Consider the following 25,604-nt stretch of genomic DNA (forward strand, 5'->3'; position numbering starts at 1 on the left):
AGCTACTTAGGAGGCTGAGGCACGAGAATTGCTGGAACCCAGGAGGTGGAGGTTGCAGTGAGCTGAGATCGTGCCGCTGCACTTCAGCCTGGGTGACAGAGCGAGACTCTGTCTCAAAAACAAACAAACAAACAAACAAAAACTCCTCAGTGTGATATATGTCTGGCAAATATTTCCTCTCAATATGTGCCTTGTGTTTTTATTTTCACTGGTATATTTTGTAGAAAAAAAGTTTTTAATATTGATGAAGTATAATTTACCTTTTAAAAAAGTGTCATGATTTTTGTATTCTAGCTCACAGTCCTTTATTAGAAATTGCAAAGCTCTCCTTCTATATTTTCCTCTAGAGATTTTATAATTTTAGGTGTACATTTAGTTCTATGGTCCACTGCAAGTTAATTTCTGTATTTCATGTAAGGGTGGATATTTAATTTTTATGTGGATATTTAGTTGACACAACACCATTTGTTGAAAGCTTTGCTTTCAACAAATTTTCTATCAAATTGCCTTGGCACCTGTGTGAATAATTGATTGAATATATGTGGGTCTGTTTTTAGGCTCTAATATATTCTATTCCTATTTTATACCTACATATGTATATGTGTGTATGTAGACATATGTGTGTGTGTATATATATAGCCAATAGCAAACTGTCTTGATTAATGTGATTTTATAGAAAGTCTTAAAATCAAGCAGGATAAATCCTCCAAACTTTGTTCTCTTAAAAATTTGCTTTGACTATTCTATTTTTTTTTTTTTTGAGACAGAGTTTCACTCTTGTTGCCCAGGCTGGAGTGCAATGGCACCATCTCTGCTCACCGCAGCCTCCACCTCCCAGGTTCAAACAGTTCTCCTGCCTCAGCCTCCCGAGTAGCTGAGTTTACAGGCATGCGCCACCACGCCCGGCTAATTTTGTATTTTTAGTAGAGAAGGGGTTTCTCCATGTTGAGGCTGGTCTCGAACTCCTGACCTCAGGTGCTCTGCCCACCTCAACCACCCAAAGTGCTGGGATTACAGGTGTGAGCCACCACACCCGGCCCAACTATTCTAGATTATTTGCATTTTCATATAAATTTTTGAATTAGACTGTCAATTTCTATGAAAAATCCTGTTGGCGTTTTGATTGGGATTGTATTGAATCAAATTGGGGAAATTGTCATTTTATCTGATATTCAGCCCTTTACTCCATGAACATGGTATGTCTATATTTACTTGTGCTTCTTGACTCTTTTCTCAGTACTGTCTTGTTCTTTTCAGTACAGCATTCCTGGACAAATTGGTTGGTCTTCCTACAATTGTGCTTTAAAAGTTCTTTATATATTTATATAAATATATAAATTCATATATTCTATGTAAATATGTAAATTTATATATTCTATATAAATATATAAATTTATATATTCATATAAATATATAAATTTATATATTTGATATAAATATATTGATATAAATACATAAATATAAATATCAATATATTTATATTTATATAAATATAAATATCAATATATTTATATTGTATATAATATATAAATTTATATATTAGATATAAATATATAAATCTTTGTTAGATTCGCACCTAAGCATTTTACTTTTTTTGTGCTATTTAAGTGGAATTTTTAAGATTTTATTTTCCAATTGTTTACTCCTAACAGATAGAAATAAAATATATTTTAAAAATATTAACCTTGTGTCTTGTGACCTTGCTAAATTCATTTACTGGTTTTGATTGTTGTTTTGTGCATTCCCTGGGATGTTCTACATAAATCACTAATTATATCATCTGCAAATAGAGACAGTTTTACTTCTCTTCCGGGCTCTACGTATTTTATTTCATTTTCTTGGCTTATAGCAATGTCTAGGATCCCTGGTACAATGTCGAATAGAAGTGGCAAGAGAACATCCTTGCTCGTTCCCAGTCTCGGGGAAAACAAGTCAGTTTTTTACTGTTAAATATGATGTTTGCTGTCAGGTTGTTCTGCTTTTATTTTGTAGATTCTTTTTATCAGTTTGAGGAAGTTTCCTACTATGTTTAGTTTTCTAAATGTGTTTAGCATAAGTGGATGTGGAATTTTGTCCATGGTGTTTCTGAATCTTTTAAAATAATATTTTCCTATAATTTTTCTCCTTTCATCTGTCAATATGGTGAAGTCTATTGACTGTTTTTCGAATGTTAAATCAACATTGCATCCCACTGGTCATGAGGTATCACCTTTTTAACTTAATATTGGATTTAATTTGTTAACATTTTGATAAAGATCTTATTATACTTTTAAAATCTATTTTTCTTAAATGTTTAATAAAAGACTCGAATGTTGATAGAATTCACCAGTGAAACCATCTGGGCCTGGAGTTTTCTTCTGGAAAGATTTCTGATAACAAATTCAATTTCTTTAATCGCTGTAGGGCTGATCATATCTTCTGTTCCCTTTTGTGTTGATTTTGGTAAGTTGTCTTTTTCAAGAAATAATACAGTTTCCTCTACGTTGACATATTTTTGGCACAAGTTGTTTTTAGTATTCCCATATATCTTATTGATGTTTATAGGGTCTGTGATAACAATCACTTTCTCATTCCTGAAAATGATGATTTTCGTACTCTTTCTTTTTTTCCTTGACCATTCTAACTAAGGGTTAATCAATTTTGTTATTTCCAAAGAAACAGTTTTTGCCTTTCTCAACTTTCTCAAAGGTCTACTTATTGATTTTTTGCTCTTATCTTTATTATTTCCTTCCTTCTACTTACTTCTGACTTAGTTTACTCCTTTTGTTTTTGTTTGTTTGTTTTTTTGAGACAAGGTTTCACTCTGTCACCCAGGCTGGAGTGCAGTGGCATGATGATAGCTTACTGCAACCTTTAACTCCTGAGCTCAAATGATCCTCCCACCTCAGCCTCCCAAGTAGCTGGGAGTTGAGGTGCATACTACCATGCCTGGTTAATTTTTAAAAGGTTTTTTAGAGACAGGGTCTCACTATGTTACCCAGGCTGGTCTCGAAATCCTGGGCTCAAGTTATTTTCCCTCCTCTGCCTCCCAAAGTGTTAGGATTGTGGGAATGAGCCACTTTACCCAGCCTCTTTTTTTTTTTTTAAGTCATCTTAAGGTGAAACCTCAGGTCACTGATTTTAGATCTTTCTTCTTTTCTAATATAAGCATTTAATGCTATAAAGTTCCCTCTAAACACTGCTTTAGCTGCATCCCACACATGTTGACATGCAGGGCCATTTTTCAATCGCAATTTTATTCCCTATTTTTGGAGAGGGCAGGCTGGATCCAGAGGCCACAGATATGATACCATTTCCAGGCACTAGGGCAGAAATAGGCCCGTGATTGGGTGAATTCTTGCAGTGCTGGCCTGCTATGGGAGCGCTGGGTAATACCATGGATTCCTGTACAAGCCCCATTTCCCTTGGGCTCCTTCTGCCCCAACATCTCAGACCTCACCAGCCTCCTCTCAGCAGCCCTTCCCAGCCTCAGAAGCTTCCAACAGCTCCTGACTCCTCTTTGGAGCAGGGATTAGTGCCTGTGGGGAATCTACACTGCCTGCCCCAAGCCTGCTTGCAGCCTGACCCTCTCTGTCCATTCATTCTCTGCTGCTGTGGCATGACTAGCTAGCCCTGTCTTGTCATACCCATTGTGTCATTGCTCCAGGCCGCTGGTCCAACCCACATGGTGCCAGAGTCCATTCCTCTCTCTGGACCTCCGTTTCTTCCTGCATGAACTAGCAGTCTTGGTCCTCATGGCTGACATGAGTCCTGTCCTTCTCCTCACTTGGGAATCTTTGTCCCCTCCTCCTCTAGGCTGGCACTTGGTAATCACAGTGGTAGCACAACCCACAGTGCTTTGGTCTCCTCCTCACTCTGGTCCTTGCAGAGACTTTATTGCCCCATTATACAGATGAGGAAAGGGGGTTTGAAGGTGCTGAGAGCCTTGCCCAGGCTCATGGGCACACGATTCATCTATGGAAGCGTGGAAAGCGCAGGACAGGTCTCACTGCTGCCAAGAGCTGTGGCTTCCCAGTGGCCGGGAACCTGCCACTGTGACCGGGACAGCTCTTGGTAAGCATCTAGACAGCTGGCTCGAGGCTAACGTGGAAGTGGTACTGGTGTCTGCTTGTTCTCGCTGGAGCTGCTGGCTGGGCGCAGGGCTGGGCCCTCTGCTGTCAGAAGGAGTGCCTTCTCCTAAAGAGGCCCTGGCAAAGGCACAGGCCGGGGAGGCCGGCTCAGAGGTCTGGGACACACGCCTTGAAGGAGAACAGTCGACCTCCTTTCTCTGCCACACAGATGAAATCTGGGGCATGCCTGGGAGTCTTCCTCCCCTCTTCCCACAGTCAAATTCTAATTTTCTTAAAGCAAAAGTACATGATTTGCCGCAGATGTGCGCTGCGCCCTGCTTTTTGGCCCTACAACTCCCCAGGAGGTGCCACTAGTGGTGCCCATTTTACAGGTGAGGAGGCTGAGGCTCAGGGCCGTGACTTGTCCCAGGACACAGCCAGGAGGTAGTGAAGCCCAGATCTGCCCACTCCCACTGGCCAAACCACAATTCTCTCATCACATGGGACTCCAACCCGTCTTGGCATACCCTGGAGAGTGCTGGGAACTGAGGCCTCCATGGGGCTCCAACCTGTCTTGGCATACCCTGGAGAGTGCTGGTAACTGAGGCATGGAGGCCTTGCCCTCTGAGTTCCATTTCAGAGGGGAGAAGCCAAAAGTTAACTGAGGCCGGTGGGGGCCAGTCTCAGTCCCCTTGGAGGTAGCCACAGTGTGGATCTCTCCCCAGGACACACTGGCAGCTCCAGACAAAGGCCTGAGAACACGCTGGGGGGCAGTCCCAGCGCTGTGGGCACCGCCTGCCAGCACCCAGCAGACCCAGCACATCGATGAGAGTGTCCACCTGAAAGGGATATTCAGGCTCGTTCCAAGTCGGCAGCATCCACTGAGGGCTTCGTTCACCCAACATAGCAAGGACATTTGGCAGGTACACGGGACATCCGACCTGCCTCCTGACGCCGACAGCAGCCTTCACAGAAGGCCCTGCTACTGGATCTGGAGTGGAAGGAAGAAGGGTGCTGCCACGGTGCTCACTTTGGGCCTCATGGACGCGGATTTAACCCGAAGTGCTTAGCAGGCCTCACTGGTTCTGCACTTCAGCACGGCCCCCAGCAGTGTGGGGAGGGCTGCCTGGCCCCGAGAGCTGGCTGTCTGGCCAGGCTGTCTGTCCAGCACCTTTGCCTGCTGGACCGAAATCCAGCTGAGCTAGGAGCAAGGCTGACTGTAAAAGGAAAAGCCATTCAGAGTAGCTCAGGCTGGTCGTCCCGGCCATGGGAGGGGACTTGTGCTAATTCCTCTTCAGACACCAAAGGGGGTAATCGCAGGCGTGGCAGGGCCGAGAAATCCTGTTAGTCCTTTGCCCCCCAAGGCTCCCATCGAGTGGCTCCCTGACAAAGCAGCTCCAGGGCTTCCTGAGGACAGCAGGCTGGAGGCAGGCGGTGCGGACCCCCCACAGACACTAATCCTTGCTCCAAAGCAGATTCGAGGGCTGGGCGGCAGCCTCCCTGGGCTCCAGAGACTGCTGGAAGCTTCTGAGGCTTGGAAGGGCTGCGAGGCCCAGCACACGGGGTAGCATGGGCAAGCTCCTCCCTTCTTCTGGGGACTCAGAGTCCCCATGTGCAAAATTGGGGGGAAGAGCGGGGTCGGGGGAAGAGAAGACCTCCAAGGCGGTTAGGGTGGTCTTGGGCATCCGAGTCTTGCCCAGGGCGAGGGCTCTGCATTGCTCTTGGTCCTCTGGAAGGCAGTCGGGGCAGAGTGAGGCCCTTGGTTCTTCTTGGGGATGCAGGGCACCATGGCCCCAGCAGCTGAACTGGCCTGGAGGGTGCGGGGGTGGGTGTGTGTAGCAGCTCCCCAGCTCCTCCCCTGAGGAGGTCAGGGCAGCTTTGCCCTCTTGGAGCCAGGCCTGGCGGCTTCCTGGGCCCCAGTGACACAGCAGCGCGAAGCAAGTCATCTCCCTCTCAGCAAAACAGAGCCAATAATTGTACCATCTCTGCTGGAGAATGAAGCGCCTCAGGGGCCACACTGGGACGCGCCACCCTAGTGCATGTCCCTCTGGGCTCAGAACCCCCTTTCAGCAGCCTCTCAGCCTAGGGATCAAGGTCCTTCCAAACCTGGGCCACCCCAACCTCGGAGAGGCTCCCCACTGAGCACCCAAAGCACCTGTGACCCCATACCCTGCCGGTGCCCTCCCCCCACCCATGCAGCCCCATGCCCGCCCTTCTCCCCGTGGACCTGCCACCCCGACACCTGGACAGAAGCCGGCTCTGGTCCCTCATCTCCTTCTCTCCTTGGCCTTGTGGTTCAGGCCCTTGTGTCCTGTCCCCTCCCTGCTCTGTGAGTGTCTGGTCACTGTGGCAGCCATAGGGTAGCACCTAGAATCTGTGTTGGACACCGGTGCGTCACCTGTTGCTTCCCGGGCAGGGGAAGCACCTGGCCTGTGTTCCCCCCCTCTGCCCTCCACCCCTTGCCCACAGGAGGTGCTGCAAAGCCTGCGTGGCGTTGGCGGGGTGCTGGGGTCTGGAGGAGCCCAGCCAGTCGGTTGTGTTGGCAAGAGACGGGCCTGAACAAGAGCCAAGTGGCTTCTGCGTCAGCTTTTAAAACCACCAAAAGGAGCTCACTTGTCATGCTGTGGTCCAAATATTTTGGCCATTTAGATGCAACCTTCTGTGCCTCTGAAATTAGGTGTATTATTAATCTCATCCAGCCCAGTGACAGAGTGGGCAGATCAGACAAGGATCCTTGCAGCGGGATGAAGGGTGAGCATGTTCTTATCGGTGCAAAGCTGACACGGGGTGTTTCCAGAATGACACTGATGGAGTGCAGCCTGCCTGGGGGAGGGGTGGCTGGGAACCCCCGGTGATGAGGAGGGCATGGGCACAGGGCTTGCTTAGGGAGGAGAAGAGAGGGCTCCAGAGACACGGTTGCTGGCTTCCAGGGTGTCACATGGGGTGACGTGGCAGGGGGTTTCTGCAGGGGTGCTTCTGAGATAGGGCGATAGGGCCAGCTGGGGTTGGCTGCAGGCTCCAGGAGTTAGGTTCCAGATGGATTTCAGATGGGACTTTCTTGCTAACCCTACTTTTTTTCTGATTATAAAAGTAATAAAGACTCCTTGTAGAGAAGGAGGCAAAATACAAAGAAGAGTGTGAAGCCCCCATCACTCCATTAATGTTCACCAGTCGGGGGGTGGGAGGTGTTTTCCTTCAGATTTCTGTGTATACATTTATAACTGGCATCCTTTTGTGTGCAATGTTAACCGCCTTTTGTTTTCACTAAGCAATGTATTATGTTGAGCACCCATTTTGGGGGAGTAGACAGCCTGCACCATGGTCAGCCCGCAGACAGGCTGCACGGATCCAGGCACCTCGCTGGCTCCAAAACCCACGAAGTGACCCCACCCAGGATGTCAGAGTAAGAGCGTGCCTGCTTGGCTAATGTCTCTCGCGTGCCTGCTTGGCTAATGTCTCTCGCGTGCCCGCTTGGCTAATGTCTCTCTGAACCCAGAGAGCGGAGAGGACCCGTGGCTGGGCTGCTGTGTGTTGGGGGCTTTTGAGGCCAGCCTGGTGGCCAGCTCCTTGGCACTGCCAGTTGCAGGGGCTAACCACCTTGTGAGGGACAGCCCGCTTCCCCCGGGGTCTCTTGGCTCTTCCTCTCTGCCGAGTTGTGACAAGGTATGGGCGTGGTGAAGCGAGAGCTCCCCTCTCTGCCAGTGTCCATGTGGCCACTCTGTGACAGCAGGAATCCATACCCCACCCAGCCAGCTCACAGCAGGAATCCATACCCCCCCACCCCAGCCAGCTCACAGCAGGAATCCATACCGCCCCCTCCAGCCAGCTCACAGCAGGAATCCATACTCCCCCACCCCAGCCAGCTCACAGCAGGAATCCATAACCCCCCACCCCAGCCAGCTCACAGCAGGAATCCATACCCCCCCAACCCAGCCAGCTCACAGCAGGAATCTATACCCCCCACCCAGCCAGCTCACAGCAGGAATCCATACCCCCCACCCAGCCAGCTCACAGCAGGAATCCATACCCCCCCCAGCCAGCTCACAGCAGGAATCCATACCCCCCCACCCCAGCCAGCTCACAGAAGGAATCCACACCCCCCCGCAGCCAGCTCACAGCAGGAATCCATACCCCCGCCAGCCAGCTCAGAACAGCCCTGGGTCCCTGTTGGTGGCACTTCTGTTCCCCTCCTGCCTTTCTGAGTGTAGAACTTCTTAAGAGCTAAGATCCAGGGGGCCAACCCAGCCGGTGCAGCTCATGGGGAGGAACCCTCCAGGCAGCTCCATGCCCATGGGCTCAGGATAGCAACCCATCATCCCATCCAGGGATGGACTTCTCTAAAACGGCCCTGGACCCACCCAGAAGATCAGGGACAAGTCTATCAGTACCAGGACAGTCTGGAAGTTTTTGGCCATGCTTAAATTAGTTAAGGCTGGGGCCTGGCCACGGGCAAGCTTGCCTTTCGCACAACTGCTGGACTCCCTGCTGAGCATGACCACGGGCCATGGGGCTGAGATGTTCCCTGATGGAATATGCCTTGGAGAGCCTCGCCCTGGCCAGTCTGATGATCCCATTCACTAGGCTGTTTATTGAGTGCCCGCGAAGGGCTGGCCTGGGCTGGTGGCTGTATAGACATCTCATTCAAGTTACACGAGGGTGCTGCAGAGGGAGAAACTGAGGCCTGGGGTCTCGCCCGGGGGGGACTCGGGATCAGACAGCGCTGACCCCTGGGCCCCTCAAAGTCCAGGATGCCCTCTCCCACCACCTGGCCAGGGTCTACCATGGATACATAGGTATGATTAACCTGGAACACACCACATTATTTTCTCAAACACTAAATATCCCCAATCACAACAGCAGAACTTCAAACAGCAACTGTGCCACAGAAGCAAATGAAGTCAGCTGACCCCTGGGGTGTGGAAATCAGACGGAGTCCAGTCCCTCCCTTGGCTGCTGGCAGGGCAGGTGGAACCTGGGGGATGCTGGCTTCCTTTCCTGAGCGTGTACAGCCCTCAGCTGTTCCTACAGCCCTGAGCTTCAGCATCGCAGGGCAGAGACATGGGGCTGGGGCCCTGGGGTTACTTCCAGGGTTGGGTGGTCTGTGACTCTGTGGAATCTAGTGGGTGCCTCAGGGCGGGGGCCTAGTGGACAGGCTCCGGGGCCCCCAAGTGGCTTCCAGCAGGGCATGGCACCCCTATCTCACACCCCCTTTCCATGTTCAGGGGATTTTGGGAAAGGGCCTGGTAATTAAACCCTTTTAAAGCCCACTGGTCCTGGGCAGTTGTCCAGGGCGTGGGACCCAAGGCCTCCTGGTCCTATCTCCCTTTGCCTTTCCTAGGTCTCTGTCACTCCCGGGCAGGAGGAGACAGTGATGACGGGAAGGAGGTGAGGACAGGGTGAGGTCAGCCAGCCCACTCTGATAGCGCCTACTGCATGCAGGGGTCCGGCAGGCTTCGCAGGGGAGGCAGGGGAGCCTGAGACCCAGGGGTCTGCTGCCCATGGGAGGCCCCAGCAGGGTGACAGCAAGGCCCTGGAGTCTTGGGTAGGAGGCGGAGGGCCTGGTGAGAGCCCCACACATAGGTGCTCCAGTGGCCAGCCCTGCAAATGAAACAGGAGGCTGGGAACAGGGCGGGCAGGGGCCCGGGAGGATGGGGCCAGGCCTGCAGCTTAAAAAGCAGGCATGGATGCGTCTTTTGGCTCCTCAGAGATGCTCTTTCGGTCCAGCCAACGACCTGCCTACGACGGTTGTGCCTCTGCCCCGAGGAGTGGTGCCGGGGCCAGGCTGCAGACCCCTGGAGCTGGAGGGCTGCAGGCGGCTGGCCCGGCCTCCTCCTGGGTGATCTCATTTCCAGGGCAGCCCCTCCCCTCCCTGCGTCTCAGCTCAAGCGGCTCCTTCCTTGGGGACCCTCGTTAGTGGGAGAAACAAAGGCCAGTTGTCACCAGGAGCTGGCGATTCATCAGCCTCCGGCCTGGGCTCCCCCTCAGGGAGTGTGGTGGCTGTCTGCTGGGGGCTCGGAGCTGGGGGCTGGCAGGGCAGGATCTGGTGGGGCAGTGATATGGGTGGGGTGAAAAGCGTCCCCCCATTCTAATCTTCGGGGGAAAGAAAAAATGTTTTAAAAGTGCTGCCCCCCCACCCTCCGTCCAGCAGATATTTTTCTGGGTTGTCTTTGGTGCTTCCCACAGCAAACCCTACCAGGCTCCCTCGTGGGTAGATGCCCCTGAGCCTTCAAGGGGCCTTCGTCCCCGGGGCCGCGGATTCATTTACTGATAGGTAAACCGAGGCCCTGGGAGGGAAGATAATTTTTTCTAAGTATAGAAGGACTGAGATGTAAACAAGTATCCTGGTTGCCCACTAGGGCTTGGAGAGAAGCCGCTGACCCGGTGGCCTAGCTGGGCCCCTTGAAAATAGCGTCTGTGAGCATTCTGATCCCACAGCTGTGCCCAGTGGGGAAGGCGGAGACTGGAGCTCCCAGTTCCTGCCCTCAGCAAGCTCCGACCGTGGGAAGACACGGCCAGCCCAGGGCTAGAGGCACATGCAGGTTGCTGCAGGGTGCAGAGAAGCCAGCCCAGGCAGTGTGTGCATGCGTGCATGTGTGCGTGTGCGTGTGTGTGTGTGTTGGGGACTGGGGTGGAGATGGGTGAGCTGCTGAGGGCCACATTGGAGCTTAGGCAGCAAGGAATGCGGAGTGGCCAGGTGTGGATGGCCTGCAACAGCAGTCTCTCCTGTGCTAGCCTGGGGGGCTCTTGTGGGAAGAGCTCGGAGCGGGCAGGAGGGAGATGATGAAGGGAAGGGAGGGAGGGAGGGCCTGGTGAGTTTTGCTCAGGAGTTTGGACTTTATCCCAAGGGCAGTGGGCAGCATGAAAGAGTTTTTAAGCTGAGAGTGTCAGGGTTGGGGGCAGGGGGTGCTGCCTGCTTAGGCCAGGCGAGGTTGGGAACAGGCTGACGGAGAGGGGGTGGGGCCAGGGCCTTTGGGGACCTAGCCACACGTGGCTGTCCTGAGGCCTCCTCGGGGAGGATGACAGCCTCATCGGACCCTGAGCTGCAGCCTGGAGCCACGCCAGGCCCTCCACAAGCCAATGAGCGGAACAATGTGTGCCGGGCTGCGTCTGCACCCCCACTTGCTGGCAGTGTGGGGGTGGAGGGAGCCGCATTTTAAAGTACAGTTTATTTTGATGCAAGCACCGAGGGGCGTTAGGCAAACTCCTGGGCTCAGTTCCCCATCCTTCAATGCAAAACGACTCTTCTTTACGGCCCGTCAATAACCGCTGCCATCTCCTCGCCGCCGCAGAGGCCACATAGATCATATTTAAACCACACTGGTGGATGACAGAGACGTACGGATATTTTTAATCCCAACAGACTATTACGGTTCATATCATGTCTGTCAAATAAATATTATGAATCATTTCCCGTTATCTTTATGGGGGCCGCTTGACTACATCGGGGGACTGGGCTCGGGGCCTTCCCCTGCACATCCATCCCCCTCGTATGTACACATATGTGTAGGGGGAGATGTATGTAGAAAGTGTCGATAATAAATGCCCCCGATAAAACACATAATCTCCTTGCCTGATGGGCGTCTGGGGGTGCACGGTGGAGAGGTGTCAGGGAGGGGCGTGCCACCTTCAGAGCCAGGGAGGCTGGGCTGGGCCCCAGGCTGGGAGCGTCAGCCTCAGCCTGTCTCCTTAGCTCCTGTGAGACAGGCTGTCATTCTATTTCCCCGTAGTCATATTCTTGTTTCTGTGATTAGCTGGTTCTTTTCTCTATTTTATAGAAGAGACTGATGTCCAGAGAGTACCCTTGTCCAAGGGCCATGTAAGAGTTGGTGGCAGAGCCAGGCTATGGCCTCTTCCTCCTGGTACCTTCCCCAGCACCTTGTTTTCCAAGTCTGTTACCTATGTCCCTTCTCTCTGGACTTTGGTCTCACCTGGCACCGGCTGCTTTGGCTGGCCGACCTGTGCCATGAGAAGCGGGGAGGTGGTGTGGCTCATTGGAGGCTGGGGGCGGAGGTCGGTGGTTGTCTGGGGTCTTTCCTGGGGGTTCTGACCACTGACCTCAGCCCTGGGTCTGGGGACTGTGGTGCCAGAGTCACCACACGGTTTGGAGTCAGTCACTGCTGCTCTTCGCCTCAGTGTTTCCATCTGGGAAACGGGGAAACCAGAGTCTTGGTCAGCCGGGGTGGGGTTAGAGGGGATGGTACCTGGCAGTGTGCAGCAGACTGGCACCTCGGAGGCAGCTTGGAAAGCTCAGGTTCCTCCTCTCCGGACTCTCAGAACTGTTCCTGCCCTTCTTTGAGCATCTGTGACCCCTTGCGGCTGGCGCTGGGATTCGGTGGGGCTCTTTGGTGGCCCCTGGAGGGAACCCACTGTCTCTTGCCTGGAGCTGCACTGAAATCCTGGCTCTTCATTACAAACCAGCTCCTGTCCCCTTAAGCCTCACTCACCTGAACTCTTTGGCTCACGCCACCATTCAGCTCCCCAGAGTTCTGGAAGTAAGACCCCAGCTGATGACGGAGGCAGCGGCTGGCCTTCGGAGGACCTCACCTTTCTCTTCCCCTGCACTGCTTTGGGTTTGGGGTGTGCAGGGCCAGCCAGCTGACTGCTACCAGGGCAGACGCTGTCAGTGGTGACTGCCCTGCAGGCCTGCAAACATTTTGCCAGAGGGCCAGACCCAGGAGCAGAGGGGTCCTCTTCTCTTCCTCCTCCTCCCCTCCTGTCCTCTCCTCTCCCCTCCCTCCTATCCTTTCTCTTCCTCTCCACTCAGCAGAACAGACTGGAGCCCAGGTGTGGACAAGTGGCTTGAGTGTTTCCCTCTAGACTGATGGAGAGACAAGCTATGACTGAGAAAGGGGGTTCGGGCTGGGACCCCTGGGCCTAGTCCCAGTTCCATGTGGACCTGCCGGGTGGCCCCTTGCCTCTCTGAGCTTTCGGCTCTACTTCCCAGCTCGAGTCATCATCGGTCACCACAGACAAAAGGTGTTGTCCCCAAAGGAGCCACAACGGATGTGAGAGAGAGTCCCCTTAGGCTGAGGTGCTTGGGGACAGATCGGGCCACCTTGCCCAGCAGTACCCAAGCCCTTGGCCTCCCTTGTTGGAGGCTGAGCTCCCCAAACCCCTGTGAGGTCCTGCTAGTGACCAGCTCAGGACCACAGGGAACCTCTGGAAGCAGCTTAGAGCCCCGTTGGTGTCCTGGGAACTTCTGGGAGCAGTCCACCCAGACGCCAGCTTCCTCATGCTCAGCCAGCACAGAGACCAGCCTTTAAAAATATTATTCAACAAGCAATTCCCGGGACTGTTTACAAGACTGAGCCGAGACAGGCATATGAAATAGGCCAAAGTACCTTAAAAAGCGTCCCTCAGGGAAATTAAAAAAAAAAAGACCCAAACAAAAAAACAAAAAAACAAAACCTTCTTAGATCGCAGGTTGTGAATAAATGGATACTACTATAAAAATAGTTTTGGCTGTAGCAGCACATGGTGGGAAGGCTGGGGTGTTTTTTTCCATGGCTGGCTCAGACCTGGCCATTTCATATGGGGCAGCCACTATCCCGGGAGGTTTCGTGTAGAATCATTTGCACCAAAAAGCTCCAAACTGAGGGGGAGGATAAAAAGTAGTGGCCACAGAAATAACAAGCGGCATCGTCATTTTCCATCAAGGACCTGGTGTGTTTTCGGCGGCCGAGCACCCAGGCCCCTGCCCCATGGAAGAGAAGGGCGGGGCTGAGAGCCATTCACCGTCTGTGGGCACAGAGGCTGGATGTGAGCCCAGATCTGCAGGACTCCGGACTCCGTGCGCTCTCCACGTGGTCTCTAGAGCAGGGGATGACGCCTTCCGGTGTTTCTTAGGAACAGAGGGCCCTTCTGGAACCTTCAGCCTTCCCAGGAGGAACCCACATGGAAATCTGTCTGCATGTGCCTCCCCGACTCCAGGCACCAACAGCTCCTGAGTCTTGAGTTTTCAGGGACAAGGAGTGAGATGGGGGTGGGGTGGAGAGTCCAGCATGCCACACCGCCCACTATTGGGAGGTGACCTCAGACACTTCAGCCCAGCCTTCCCACCATTGCCTGGCGTGTCCTGACCTGCCGTCCGCGGCCTGCTGCTCCTTCTCTCTGCAGGCCGCTGCTCAGCCGGCCCTGCTGCCTGGGCGGCCACTGCCTGATGGAACCTCCCTGCTCCAAAACCTGACTCAAGAACCAGTGATCCCAAAAGCTGCCTGAGCCCTTTGGCTGGATAGAGCCTTGCTCTCCCTGCACTGAGCATAGGCGAACGGCCTGCCTAATTCAGCGTCATTTCATCATCATCATCATCACAATAACTGTCACACCGAGCTCGTCCTCCCGAGCGCAGACTCTCCATATTATCTCACTTAGTCATCTCAGTGACTCAGTGAGGAGGGAGTGGTTGTTCCCACTTTACAGATGAGAAAACTGAGATACAAGGAGGGAAGTGACCCAGCTAGGCCACACGGTTGGTAGGAGGTGGACCTGCAATCTGGCCCAGGCCTTGTCTATCTGGGACTCCCCCCCAACCCCCCAACCTGAGTACAGTCAGGAGGGGCCCAAGCAGTCACAGAGACAGGCCTGGAACGCGGCGGGCACATGGCACTTTTGCAGTGTATGTTGGTGCTTACGGGGGCTCTTTCTCAGTCCTATCCTTTGTTTGCCGCCCCCCTCCCTGGCAGGAGGAACTCAGTTTTAGAAGGGCAGTGGGTTGGGCCGGCATGCCATGTGCAGTGGGGAAGTGGGTCTGTTGTGGCTGTAACCACAGTGGGTGAGGACCAGGTGTCAACAGTGGCCCTCATCCCGGAGGGAGTGGGGCAGGCTGCCTGTTGGACAGGGTGTGTGAATAGGGGGACGGGGTGGCCTTTGGTAGGGGCCCAGGGGTCAGTGAAGAGGGGGAGGGGGAGAGGGCTGCCTTGGGCTCTGGCTGTGCTGGGGGTGGGCTGCCCAACCAGGGCACTTCTGTCCCAAGTGGAACCAAGACCTCCCACCGGAACAGGCCACCGGAGCCCTCGTGGAACCCAGCTCCGGGTGGCCCGACTTGAGGGGCACCCAGGCAGCAGGACACCTCTCTGGTCTCGGGCTGTTATCTTTGGGCCGTGTCATGGCTGTCCACACGCGGTCATCACCTCCTCACCTCCCTCCCCATTAGCGTCCCCTGACCCGGGCCACCACGCGCAGCCTGCGTGAATGGTCAGTCCCTGTGCCTCGCAGCCCGGGCCCTTAGGTCTAGGTGGTCAGCAAGCTCGCGGTGGGGGTGCGGAGGGAGGGCGCGGCGGGGCGCCTCGGCGCCTGCTCAGGAAGGCTGGGCTTGGCGGCGCGCAGGTAGCTCACACCCAAATCCGAATTCCAGCCGCCCGAGACGGCGGGCGGCGGGCGGCGCGCGGCGGAGGCGGCCCGAGCTGTCCCGGGGCAGGAGTGCTTCCTTTCGTTTTCAAACAAATCGTGAATTTAAAAGTCAGGCAGAGAACTACCCAGGGTATAAAAATAGCCACCGGCCACAAAGTCTGTGTCCAACTCCGGGCAGCGCCTGCCCAGCCTGGTGCCTTTGAAGAGGGGTCCCAGGAGTGCGGGTCGATGAGGAGGCGAAGCGCGCACCCCTCCTCGTTCCCGGTGGGCTCGTGGGTCTCTCCGTGGGGGTAGGGCGTGAAAGTGTGGGGTGGACCGGGGGTAGCGTCCGGAAGACGAAACCTTCCCCGGACGAGGAGCTTGTCCTCTGCCGTTGGGGCACATCGCCACTCCCGGGCCTCAGTTTCCCCACGTGTCCGCCGCGGCGGGGTGCGAGGTATGGGTGCCGCGGCCATCCCGCCCGGCTCTGCGCTTGCCTGGCCCGGGCCGGGGTCCCCTCGCGGCCACCGCCCGGCCGCTTTGTGTGGCCGCGCAGACAATGGCCCGGCCGCTGGGCTCCCGGCCCGGCTCTCCGCCTCCTCCGGGCCCTTGCGCGCAAGTGTGTGTGTGCGCGAGTGTGTGGCGGGCCCGGGGAGGGAGTTCTGCTCCCGCCCCCGCCCCCGCCCCGCTCCCTCTGCGCCCCGCCCCCTCCCACGCCGCCTCCTCGCGGCTCCCGGGAACCCCTGGCGGAGGCGAACTCGCAAGTTTGCACGGCGCTCTCAACTCGGCGGCCGGGCGGGCGGCGATCGCGGGGCGGCGGCGGCGGAGGGGGGCGCGCTCCGGGCGGGGCTGGGCGGGCGGGGCGCGGGCCGAGCGGTGGCGGCGGCGCTGCGCCGAGTCAGCGCCCGTCGCGGGCCCCCCGCCACCCCCCCGCCGGCGCCGCAGCGCCGCGGTCGGAGCGGGGCGCGGGCGCGCGGCGGCGGGGGCGCGGGCCGGGCGCGCGCGGCGGCGGCGCGCAGACACAAGTAGTTTACATTGTTGGGCGACTTTTGCAACAACTCGCCGCGCCGCGGCCTCCGCGCGCCGCCGCCGCCACCGCAGCCGCCGGCTCCCCGCCGCCCGGGCCCGGGCCGGCCGCGCCGGGGGCCGCCGCGCCCGCCGCCCGCTGCCTGCGCCGCCGGCCGGGCATGAGTTAGTCGCAGACATGGACACCAAACATTTCCTGCCGCTCGGTGAGTGCTCGCCGGGCCGGGCGGGGACGGGGCCGGGGGCCGGGGGCCGGCGGGCGGGAGGGGGCCGGGGGCGCGTTGGCGGCGCGCGCGGGGGGTCGCCGGCCCGGGCCCCGCTCGGACCCCTCGCCGACCTTCGCGTGAGTTCGGGCGCCGGGCCCGGGGAGGGTCGACCCGGGGCAACTTTTCGCGGGGCCGGGGCGGGGCTGGGCAGCGGGCGGGCGGCGGGGCCGGGGGGCGGGTGGCAGGTTCGCCCGGGACGAGGAGGGGTCTCCCGCTCACCGGCGGCCGCCTGCGCCCCGGCGCCCAGCTGCAGCCGCGCCGCACAGGAACCCGGCCGGAGCGGGAGGAGCAACTTCTGCGCTCCGCGGCTCCGGCCTCCCTGGCCTGGGGACCGGGACGGCGCGCTGGGCCCCGAGCGGCCTCTGCGCCGCCCGCCCGTCGGGCTGCGGCTTCTAGCAGGCCGCTGGCCCTTGGGTGTGTGTCCGCCCAGGAAACAGACTGGGACCCTGTTATCCCCAAAGCAGCCCACGCCCGGGTGGGCAGGGTCCCCCGGGGCTGTATGAACAGAACGTCAGACCTGGGAAGGCCCCATTCCAGAAATGGGGCCCCTCACTCTGGCACCCCCGGGTGTTCTCCCAGGCTGGCTCTCCATTTGTGAGCAGGACAGCGCAGAGGCGCGTAGGGTCAGTTTCCCTCCTCCTCCTGCCATCCCGCCCGGTAGCTTCCTATCCCAGACTGCCCGCCAACTCCAGGCCCAGACCTACCGAGAAGGGGGAGAGGGCATGGCTGGGGCCCCCACCCATTGCCCTCCCAAGGGTTTGGAAGCTAGTGAGAAGGGGGAGACTTTATAAATTAGCTCCGGGAAGGATATTAATTTGGTGGTGGGACGGCAGCCAGGCTGTCAGGCCGGGTGAAGGATTTGTGCTGAATGGAAATCGAAACAGCTGATTATGAATGAAGCCCCCGCCATCCGTAGCCCCTCCTGCCCACCCTCCCTGCAGCCTGGGGTGCAGCTTGGCCACCCCAGGAGGTGCTCAGAAGCCAATGTAGCTGCAGGGATGTTTAGTGAGATGGGGCATCAAGGGGAGCCAGCATGGACCTAGCCCCTCCTGGATGTGAGGGTGAGAGTCTGAGTACCTCTGCTACTCACAGGCAGGTGTGCTGCCCCGTGACCGGGGCAGGCGGTGGGTTCCAGGTTTGTCAGACCTAACGCTTACTCCCTGCCTCTGTCATGATGGAGTGGTGGGCTCGAGGCCTTGAATGAGCTCCAGGGCTCAGCCTCCAGGGGTGGGCGCTCATGCCCATTTTGCAGATGAGAAAACTGGCTGGGAGAGGCTGAGCCCCCAGGATACAAGGTGGTGGATTTGGGATTAGCACCCCCAGCTCGTGGTACTGCTGAGTGTGAGGCAGGAGGGAATGCTGCGCTGTCTGTGACCGAGTGCAGTGTGGAGTGGGCTGGGGCTGCCTTTCCCTGTTAAAGCTTTGCACTCACACATGTGCACACACACATCCACACACACAGAGCTAGGCTCTCCCAGACGATTCCTCTGGAACAAGAATGCTCAGCTCAGTGTCTGGCCCCTGGACGTGGCAGGGGCCTGGCTGGTTGCACTTCAGCTGAGTACTGAGAACCGAACAGGTCCCTGTTTCTAATGCTCCGGGTGGGACAGGGATAGTCCACGGAGTTGGTGGATGTAGGGCGAGGGAGCAAGGGGTGCCCAGTCGCCATGGTGGCTTGCTGGAGTCCCTGTGAGGAGGAGAGGTCGTGCCTCCGAGCCACTGCCCCAGGGATCTCCCTGGGCACTCCCCTGCCACAAGGAAGCTAGGAGTCTTCTGTTCTCGAGCAGCAGCTCTCCCGACCGGCCCATGGCCTCCCAGGCAGCCCACGCCCCAGGGCTGAGCAGAGAGCCCTGGGCTCTGATTACATTTTATTTTTTTTCTAAGCTTGTGACCAGCTCTGAAGTCCAGAGCAGTCGAAGGTCCATTTAAGCGGCTACTTTTCTAAGCCCTTTTGTCAACACAGCCTAATCCCTCCTCGGGGTGAGTGGTGGTGGAGGGCCTGGCTTGTCTTGGCCCGGCTGGCCGACCGGTCAGACCTGGAGCTGCTGGGGAGACTCGGCCACCCCTTACAGCTGCCCAGCCGCTTTTGGGGTCTGGGGTAGAGAGGGCTTCCTCCTCCCAGCATTCACTACCGCTGGGCTTGGTGGGCAGGGAGAGGATCCCAGTCGGTGTCCACCGAGCCGCTCAGTGAGGGCAGGGATGAGTGCAGCGTCCAGATCTGGAAGGAAAGCAAGGCCGAGGGACTCGCCAGAGGCAGCCCCAGCTTCCTGGCCCTGCTGCCCGGGGCTGGCCGCGCTCCCACGCCTGCCGGGGAGAAGGCCCCCGCTGGCCTTATCCTGAATGGTGGGACTCAGGCGGAGTCCACAGAGTCCAAAGGTCTCAGACCACACCAGACCCCATGCGCCTGTGGAGAGACCCGGTGGCAAAGCTGTAGGCCCGCTGACCACTCTTGGAGTTGGGGCACTTGGGGGCCTGGGTGAGCTTGCAGCCTGTGTGAGGGGCTTCTGGTAACATCAGAGCCCTTGGGACCCAAAATAGAGCACATTCCGGGGCCTCCCGAAATAACAGGGTCATGTGACTCTCAGGAGGCTGGGCTTGGAGTCCCGCTCGGGCCTGACGAGGGCGTCTTTTAGCGCGGGCGCTGCCCGACGGCAGGGTGTTTGTTTTGGTAAACTCTGGAGGGGCCCTGTTTGTTGACTGGGGAGGTGTCAGGGAGAGAAAAATGGCCCAGTCCGATGGTGGCCCTGGCTTGCTAGCCTCCAACCTTGCCTAGGGCTGGCTGCTGGGCCTGGACCCGAGCATGCAGCTGTGACCCTCTGCCCAGATGTGGATGGGACGAGCTGGGCCCCTAGGAAGGGCTGGTGGGGGGCGGGTGCTCTGAGTCCCTTGGGGTGTGGGGTGCAGGTTGAGCCGGCAGCCCTGGTCACGCGGGCAGCTGCTGTGACTGGCTCCCGGCTCTGCCAGCACCTGGTGGTTCTTCCAGCTGTGCCTGTCCTTCAGGGCCTGTGGGGGGCTCACCTCCACCAGGAGGCCCCTCTGACTGCCCTCTCTTGGCCCCTGCCCCATCTCCCCCGTGGCTGTGTGGGAGGTCGCTGTCAGTGGTCTTTGTTTCCTCCCCTGGGAAAGGGTGCCTGCAGGATTTGCTGTGGAATTACTGTGGGAACAGGGGGTACTCAGGGGTGTGCCCCTCTGCCCCTGGGGCCTGGTCGTGCATGTGGCAGGGGGCTCTGGCATCAGGAGAGGGTGGGACAGACCTCAGCTGCATGGAAGGTGGTGTGGGGGCGGGGTGAAAGCTTTACAGGTCCACCCAGTGCCAGTGGAGGCTGCCTGGGGAGTTTCCTTTCTTGGGTGACGTTTGGTTTTGCCATGGGTCAAATGTTTCAGGGCTGGGACCTCGAGTGGTGAGCAATGCCTGTCCTCTGGAGAAGAGGGCACAGCTGTCCCAGCAGACACAGGGCAGAGGCCCTCCCCAACCCCCAGCTGGCTCAGGGCTGGGACACTGTCCCTGGGACCCGGGCTTTGCAAGCCAAGACCTGCCCCTCCTTCCCTTCTCTGCCAGGCTTGAGTTTGTGTTTTTTAGCTGGCTTTGGTGGCCAGGGCCTTGGGTTGGCCTGTTAACTGGTGTGTTTTCATAGGAATTGGCCATTTGCTGGGCTAGGGATGAGGCTGGGGTCTAGGGCCACAAGGGCCTGGGGGGCTGGCCTGTGGCTGTTGGGGGCTGGTGTCCATTTGGGGGTCACCTTCCAGACCTTTGTCCTGAGATTCTTAAGCTGATCAGTTTCAGGGTGCTATGGTGTGGGTAGAGGGGTCACCCTCCTCCCCCCTGCACCTTGCCCACCTGCCTGTATGTTTCCATTTTATAGGGTGCAGCTCTGTCTTTCATCCTTCCTTCCTCTCCTCTGCCCCCTCCCATTCAGGGCCTTTGTTACCTGCAGGATGGAGGTGGTGGTGGTTTTGCAGGGATCAGCACCTTCCCAGGAAGAGGTTCTGACAGGTGGTGTCCCATTGCTGGGCGGGTGGTCAGGCCACCTGGGGTTGGGCCTTCTGTCCTCGCTGCCTGCCTGGTCTGCTCTTTGGCCTCTTGGGGCTTTGGCTGTCCATCTGAAAAATGGACATACTCATTGGCTCTTCCAAATGCTGGAGAAGGCAGCCTGGTGTGTTGTAGGCTGGCTGGGAGTTTGGGGAGTCTGTTTGTGGGGCGTTTCCCCTATCCTGTGGCTAGGTCCTCTCTGTGCCTCCTGCCTGGGTCAGGTGGGGCCAGGTTTCCAGCACTGGACCAGAACAGGCCATGATGGTCGCTGGGGGCTGTCAGGTGTAGAGGAACAGACTCAGGAATAGAGGACATCGGGGACACTGAGGTAGCCCTTTCTGTGGATATAGGCCTGCCACAGGAGAGCGCTCGCTGCTGCTGGGTCCTTGGGACCAGCCCCTGTGCCACTCCAGGGACCCTCCTCAGAGTCCCAAGAAGGCAGGTGGGGCGAGGGACCGCGGTTTGCACACCCACCCGAGCCTGGTGCGAGATGTTCTGAGCAGTTGTGCCCCAGCGCCTCACAGACAGGGAAATTGCGCCCTAGAGTTACAAAGCAATTGTCTAGCTCAGCAGCTGAATGAGCGTGAAATGGAGCAGAAAGCAGCTAAGGAAAATTGGCCCGGCCGCTGTGGGGAGAGCGGGTGCGGACCGCGTGCAGGGCTTGGGTGTGTGCACGCTCACTGTTGCACACACACAGAGTCACAGGCTCTCACCTGGCGCTGTTGGCCGCTGGCCCGTGTCCTGGCGTGCCCGTGAGTGAGCCAGGCCTCATGGGGTCCCCCAAGGATCATGGTGCTCCCTGCTGGGTTTGTTGGCCTCCTTTTTTTCTAAATCTCCCCAACTTGTCCAGGACTCACCCTACCCCCACGAAGGTGCCGATGGCTGCAGCGGGTGCCTGCTGCGTGCCAGGGACTTTATTTTTGGGACCTTGTGGAGGTGTCACAGAGACAAGCCCACTTAGTGGATGGGGACACTGAACCCTGGGTGAGGTCTGTGGGCCAGCCTTTGTGTCCCGCTGTGGGGCCTGCTTTTTCTCCGGCACTTGACTGGCGGGGGCCGCCTTGAGCTCCAGCTGGGAGGACCTGTCCCCAGGGTGGGGGCTCTGCTGCCCCTGGTCCTCCTGCCTCTCAGCATCCTCAGAGGCTGCTCACCGACCAGGCTGGGTCTATGCCCCATGCTGGTTCCCAGGAGCCCCATTGCTGGTCTTGGCCCGAGTGAGTGAGGTTTTTGTTCAGTGGGGACCCTGGTGGAGGGCTGAGGTCTCACCATGCCAGCTCTGTGCCCTGGGACTGGGCATCTTGGCCTCTTGTGCTGGTTGAAGGCCCTCTAAGGAGTGGCGACCCCTTGATCCTCACTCCAGGGTTGTCCTTGGCTTGGGGTGGTGGCTAGGAGAAGTCCCCACTCCCAGGTGGAAAGCTGTAGTTGGGTGAGCAGCAGAGGCCCAGCCTGGAACTGTGGCTTGCCCACCTCCTCATGCCACCAGGGCAGCACTGTCTGCAGCAAATTCCTGAGGTACCTGGGGGAGTGGACGGAGTGAGATTGGACCCCCGGGTCCCAGGGCAGGGCAGGGTAGGGGCACAGTTCTTTCTGAGGTCCTAACCCAGCACACGCGGCCCACCCCATGCATGCAGGCGTCCGCCGCAGCCTTCCCAGGGTGACCTGGCAGAGCCTTGACAACCCTGGCTGGGGAGGCGGGGATTGCTGGTGGGCTTGTCCACACGTGGCTTAGGGAGCGCCCGCTGGGTGCTGGCCTGGTCCTGCTGCCTGTGGAGGAGGGGTGGGGGAGGGGTGCCCAGAGGTAGGGACAGCAAGGTCTGGCCTGGAGGGGGTGAAGAGGGTGAGGACGCAAGGGTGGGGTTGCAGGGCTGGAACCAGGAGGGGGTTCACGTGTGAGGTGAGGCTGGGTAGGGCCTGTGTGCCGGGCGTAGGTGCATGGGTGCCCGGAGACTGGGGGATCCCAGTGTGGTGCTCATGGCTGGAATGAGGCCACCAGTGCTGTGCAGAGGGTGGTCTGGAGGCAGCCAGGCAAGGCCTGGAAGGAGGAAGTGACTCTCTCCAGGTGGCTCACTGGTTTCAGGTGGGCCTTGGGGCCCCTGTGAATGGCCTTGCACCCTTGCCCTGGCTGGGCTCCTCAGCATGGCAGCCTGGGAAGGGGGGAGGATTCCTAGCATCTTCCTGGGGGCTTAGGCCAGGTCCCTGGGCTGGCCTGGGGGTCGTCTTTCCCGGGCACGGGTATGGGTGAGGCACCTTTTCCCTGGCCCTGGCTCCGGCCCCCCCTGCACTCCCCAGGCTCTGGATGAAGTAGGGGGCAGGCCGTCCAGGGGGAGTAGAGCAGCCGGGCCTCTTGGGGCCGGATCAGGGATGCTGAGACCATGGAGGGGACCAGACTTTGGGGCTGGGGAGTGGGACATTCAGGGGTCCTTCAGGGGATCAGAGCCTCTCAGGGTCTCTGTGTGAGAAGTTGCCACGGGGTCTGTCCTGCACAGCCCACATCTGTCTTTGATGATAGGCTTCAGCCCCAGCTCCTCTTCCAGGCACTGCCTGCTGGGGTGAGGGATGCCGGGAAGCCCTTGGTCACAGTCCTACCTCTGGGGTGACCCAGAGGCCGTGCCTGGCCTCCCCGCACCTCTGTTGGCCCTCTAAGCCATAGTAATTTCCAGCTGGGCCTCGGTTTCCCCAGCTGTACCCGGGGCCAGGGCTGGGGGTGATGGGTGTCGGCGCAGACTGCTGCCGTGCGTGCGGGGTCTGGAGCCTCTGGCGCTGAGGGGAGGGGAGAGTGAGTTGGGCCTGGGCCAGGCCGTGTGTAAATCCTCCAGCCGCCATGGATAAACCCTCGGAGTTCAAAGACAACCCCGGGTGCGGCCGCCGGCTGTAATGAGGTTACTGATTCAACAGGCTTCCTGGTGCTGCAGCCCAGAATGCAGTGAGGCTGGGAAGCCCCGGGGAGGGATCTAAGTATCCTGTAATTGACCAATTTAGCTTAAGTGTCCACACTGGCCCTGGGCAGAGGTCAGGCAGTGACAGCACAGGTGGCTGGAGTCGCTGGGGTGGGCTCCCAACAGCTGCTGTGTCCGAGCCCCTCTGAATCGGGCGCTCTCGGGCCTGGGCAGCCCTGTGCCTCTGCCGGGACTCCCGCTGCCTGCTCTTCCCTCTCCACCTGTGCAGGCTCAGCCTTCCTTCCCAGCCAGAGCCCACCTGCCATCCTTGGTGCCCAGCAGCCCCCTTGGTACAGGGCTTGGGGTGGGGCTGCAGCTTTGGACTTGGTGCCCAGAGCCTGCATTCAGCTCCCGCTGGCAAGCCTGCTGGGTCTGTGCCTGACTATTGCCCAGTTTCCTCCCGCCTGAGGGCCGTGGAGTGATCCCACGCCTGTGTTAGGTGTTGAGGCCGCTGCTGGTGGAGGTGCCTGGCGGATGGGAGCTCTCCACGTGCCAGCCACCCATCCAGCCTCTTTTTTCCCAGGCTTCCTGAGGGCAGGGCCCTTCTGAGGCGAGGGCATCCTTGCAGCACCCAGTACAGGTATGCAGGAAGGACTCGCTTGACTTAGAGAGTGGGATCAGAAGCACCTCTCCTGCCTGTCAGCAGTGGCTTCAGTGCCTGTGCTTGGGGAGGATGTATCTGGTACCTTGGAGAGAGGCTGGCAGGCCGCATCCAGCTCCTGGTTTCCTGTCAACCCAGGCCTGGTGTGCAGAGGGCCACCAAGGTGACAGTTTGCTCCTCAGAAATAGGACTGGGCATTGGGCAGCAGTGTCATTGACTGCCGCAGTGATAGCATGGGCTGTGGCGGTGGCAGTGTGTGCTGAGCCGTCCCTCGAACTCAGCTCTCTACATGGTGGGGCTGCTCTCTGACCAGGCTGCTGTGTAGCCCTGGGCAGGTCCCTTCCCCTCTGTGGGCTTCAGTTTCCCTGGGGCCCTCTGGCTGTCAAAGCCTCTGCCTTGCCTTCTTGGCACCCTGGCTTTGTTCTGATATGCTGTTGGCCATTGGTCAGGGTGGCACCCTGGGGACCAGCTCCCTGGGAAATGGCTCTATGCCCTCCCCAGCTGAGGGGACAGGACTTGGGCTGGGGTAGGGCCTGGGTTGCTGGCGTCCAGGAAGCCGTGGGCTCTGAGCTAGCCAGGGTGGGTGTGGGTCTGGATGTGGACTGGGCATGTTGTGGTGAAGCGCTTTCGGGATGTGCAGCTTATAATGGGGAAGAGGTGGCCTGGGGGCATGGCAGAGCAGAGGCAGTAGGGGCCACAGATGAGTGGGGTCAGTCCCCATGACGGTTATCACTCAAGGCCAGGCTAGTCCTTCTCTCTTTGGGCACTGACCTTCCTTGCCTGGAACCTTCCATGGCACCCCATTGTCCCCAGGATGGAGGCCAGGCCTCCACCTAGTGTCATGTGGCTCTGTAGCCTCTCCCACCTCATTAGGCACCTCTCACTGATTTTCTCATGTCTAAAACTAACTGGTGAGGTAGGCTGCCCCATGCGATGAGTGAGCGCCCCTCTGAGTCACAGGCTGTATGGCCCTGGGCTAGCAAATTCACCTCACTAGGCCTCAGTTGTCTCACCCATAAACTGCCTGGGGGAGGTCAGGGAAGCTTCACAGAGGAGGTGATGTAGTTGGGTTTTGAGGGATGAGTAGGAGTTTGTTGGGTGGGAAGTGGGGAAGGAATCAAGGCAGAGAGAATGGATGGATTCTTTCCAGGGGGATCTGGTTCTAGCCAAGGGTATGGGGAAGGGATGCCCGTGCGGGCGTAAGTAGGGGCTTCCCTGGAGGGTTTCTGAGGGTCTGACTGTGTGACCAGGCTCCTCTGGCCTGCCCCTTGCTGGCTGGCTTCCAGGTCTGTGCTGGTGGGGACCCCTGTGAGCATGAGGCTATGGTCAGCTGGCCTGGGAATAATTAACCCTGGGAGGAGCTCAGGC

The 25,604-nt window shown here is 57.7% G+C and overlaps 1 protein-coding gene across 1 annotated transcript in view, besides 9 other annotated features; it reads left to right on the plus strand.

Moving 5' to 3' along the window:
- Positions 8,192-9,050: an enhancer, noted in NCBI's record as "H3K4me1 hESC enhancer chr9:137210088-137210946 (GRCh37/hg19 assembly coordinates)". NCBI's record gives its function as "activates a minimal SCP1, AML or CMV promoter by ChIP-STARR-seq in primed H9 embryonic stem cells {active_cell/tissue: H9 hESC(primed)}" and the evidence as "EXISTENCE:reporter gene assay evidence [ECO:0000049][PMID:30033119]".
- Positions 9,051-9,909: an enhancer, noted in NCBI's record as "H3K4me1 hESC enhancer chr9:137210947-137211805 (GRCh37/hg19 assembly coordinates)". NCBI's record gives its function as "activates a minimal SCP1, AML or CMV promoter by ChIP-STARR-seq in primed H9 embryonic stem cells {active_cell/tissue: H9 hESC(primed)}" and the evidence as "EXISTENCE:reporter gene assay evidence [ECO:0000049][PMID:30033119]".
- Positions 15,903-16,082: a silencer, noted in NCBI's record as "silent region_20478". NCBI's record gives its function as "represses an Ori minimal core promoter by ATAC-STARR-seq in GM12878 lymphoblastoid cells {active_cell/tissue: GM12878}" and the evidence as "EXISTENCE:reporter gene assay evidence [ECO:0000049][PMID:35858748]".
- Positions 16,153-16,202: a silencer, noted in NCBI's record as "silent region_20479". NCBI's record gives its function as "represses an Ori minimal core promoter by ATAC-STARR-seq in GM12878 lymphoblastoid cells {active_cell/tissue: GM12878}" and the evidence as "EXISTENCE:reporter gene assay evidence [ECO:0000049][PMID:35858748]".
- Positions 16,405-25,604, plus strand: part of RXRA (retinoid X receptor alpha) — a 114,131-nt gene continuing 104,931 nt past the window's right edge. Inside the window, exon 1 of the mRNA NM_002957.6 lies at positions 16,405-16,609. Within this exon, the coding sequence (NP_002948.1) occupies positions 16,582-16,609 (28 nt within the window). The 5' untranslated portion in view covers positions 16,405-16,581. The remainder of the gene's footprint in view (positions 16,610-25,604) is intronic.
- Positions 16,941-17,080: a silencer, noted in NCBI's record as "silent region_20480". NCBI's record gives its function as "represses an Ori minimal core promoter by ATAC-STARR-seq in GM12878 lymphoblastoid cells {active_cell/tissue: GM12878}" and the evidence as "EXISTENCE:reporter gene assay evidence [ECO:0000049][PMID:35858748]".
- Positions 17,691-18,620: an enhancer, noted in NCBI's record as "H3K27ac-H3K4me1 hESC enhancer chr9:137219587-137220516 (GRCh37/hg19 assembly coordinates)". NCBI's record gives its function as "activates a minimal SCP1, AML or CMV promoter by ChIP-STARR-seq in primed H9 embryonic stem cells {active_cell/tissue: H9 hESC(primed)}" and the evidence as "EXISTENCE:reporter gene assay evidence [ECO:0000049][PMID:30033119]".
- Positions 18,621-19,550: an enhancer, noted in NCBI's record as "H3K27ac-H3K4me1 hESC enhancer chr9:137220517-137221446 (GRCh37/hg19 assembly coordinates)". NCBI's record gives its function as "activates a minimal SCP1, AML or CMV promoter by ChIP-STARR-seq in primed H9 embryonic stem cells {active_cell/tissue: H9 hESC(primed)}" and the evidence as "EXISTENCE:reporter gene assay evidence [ECO:0000049][PMID:30033119]".
- Positions 23,220-23,886: an enhancer, noted in NCBI's record as "H3K4me1 hESC enhancer chr9:137225116-137225782 (GRCh37/hg19 assembly coordinates)". NCBI's record gives its function as "activates a minimal SCP1, AML or CMV promoter by ChIP-STARR-seq in naive H9 embryonic stem cells {active_cell/tissue: H9 hESC(naive)}" and the evidence as "EXISTENCE:reporter gene assay evidence [ECO:0000049][PMID:30033119]".
- Positions 23,887-24,553: an enhancer, noted in NCBI's record as "H3K4me1 hESC enhancer chr9:137225783-137226449 (GRCh37/hg19 assembly coordinates)". NCBI's record gives its function as "activates a minimal SCP1, AML or CMV promoter by ChIP-STARR-seq in naive H9 embryonic stem cells {active_cell/tissue: H9 hESC(naive)}" and the evidence as "EXISTENCE:reporter gene assay evidence [ECO:0000049][PMID:30033119]".

This window comes from Homo sapiens, chromosome 9, assembly GCF_000001405.40.
Source record: "Homo sapiens chromosome 9, GRCh38.p14 Primary Assembly".
NCBI classification, from domain to species: Eukaryota; Metazoa; Chordata; class Mammalia; order Primates; family Hominidae; genus Homo; species Homo sapiens.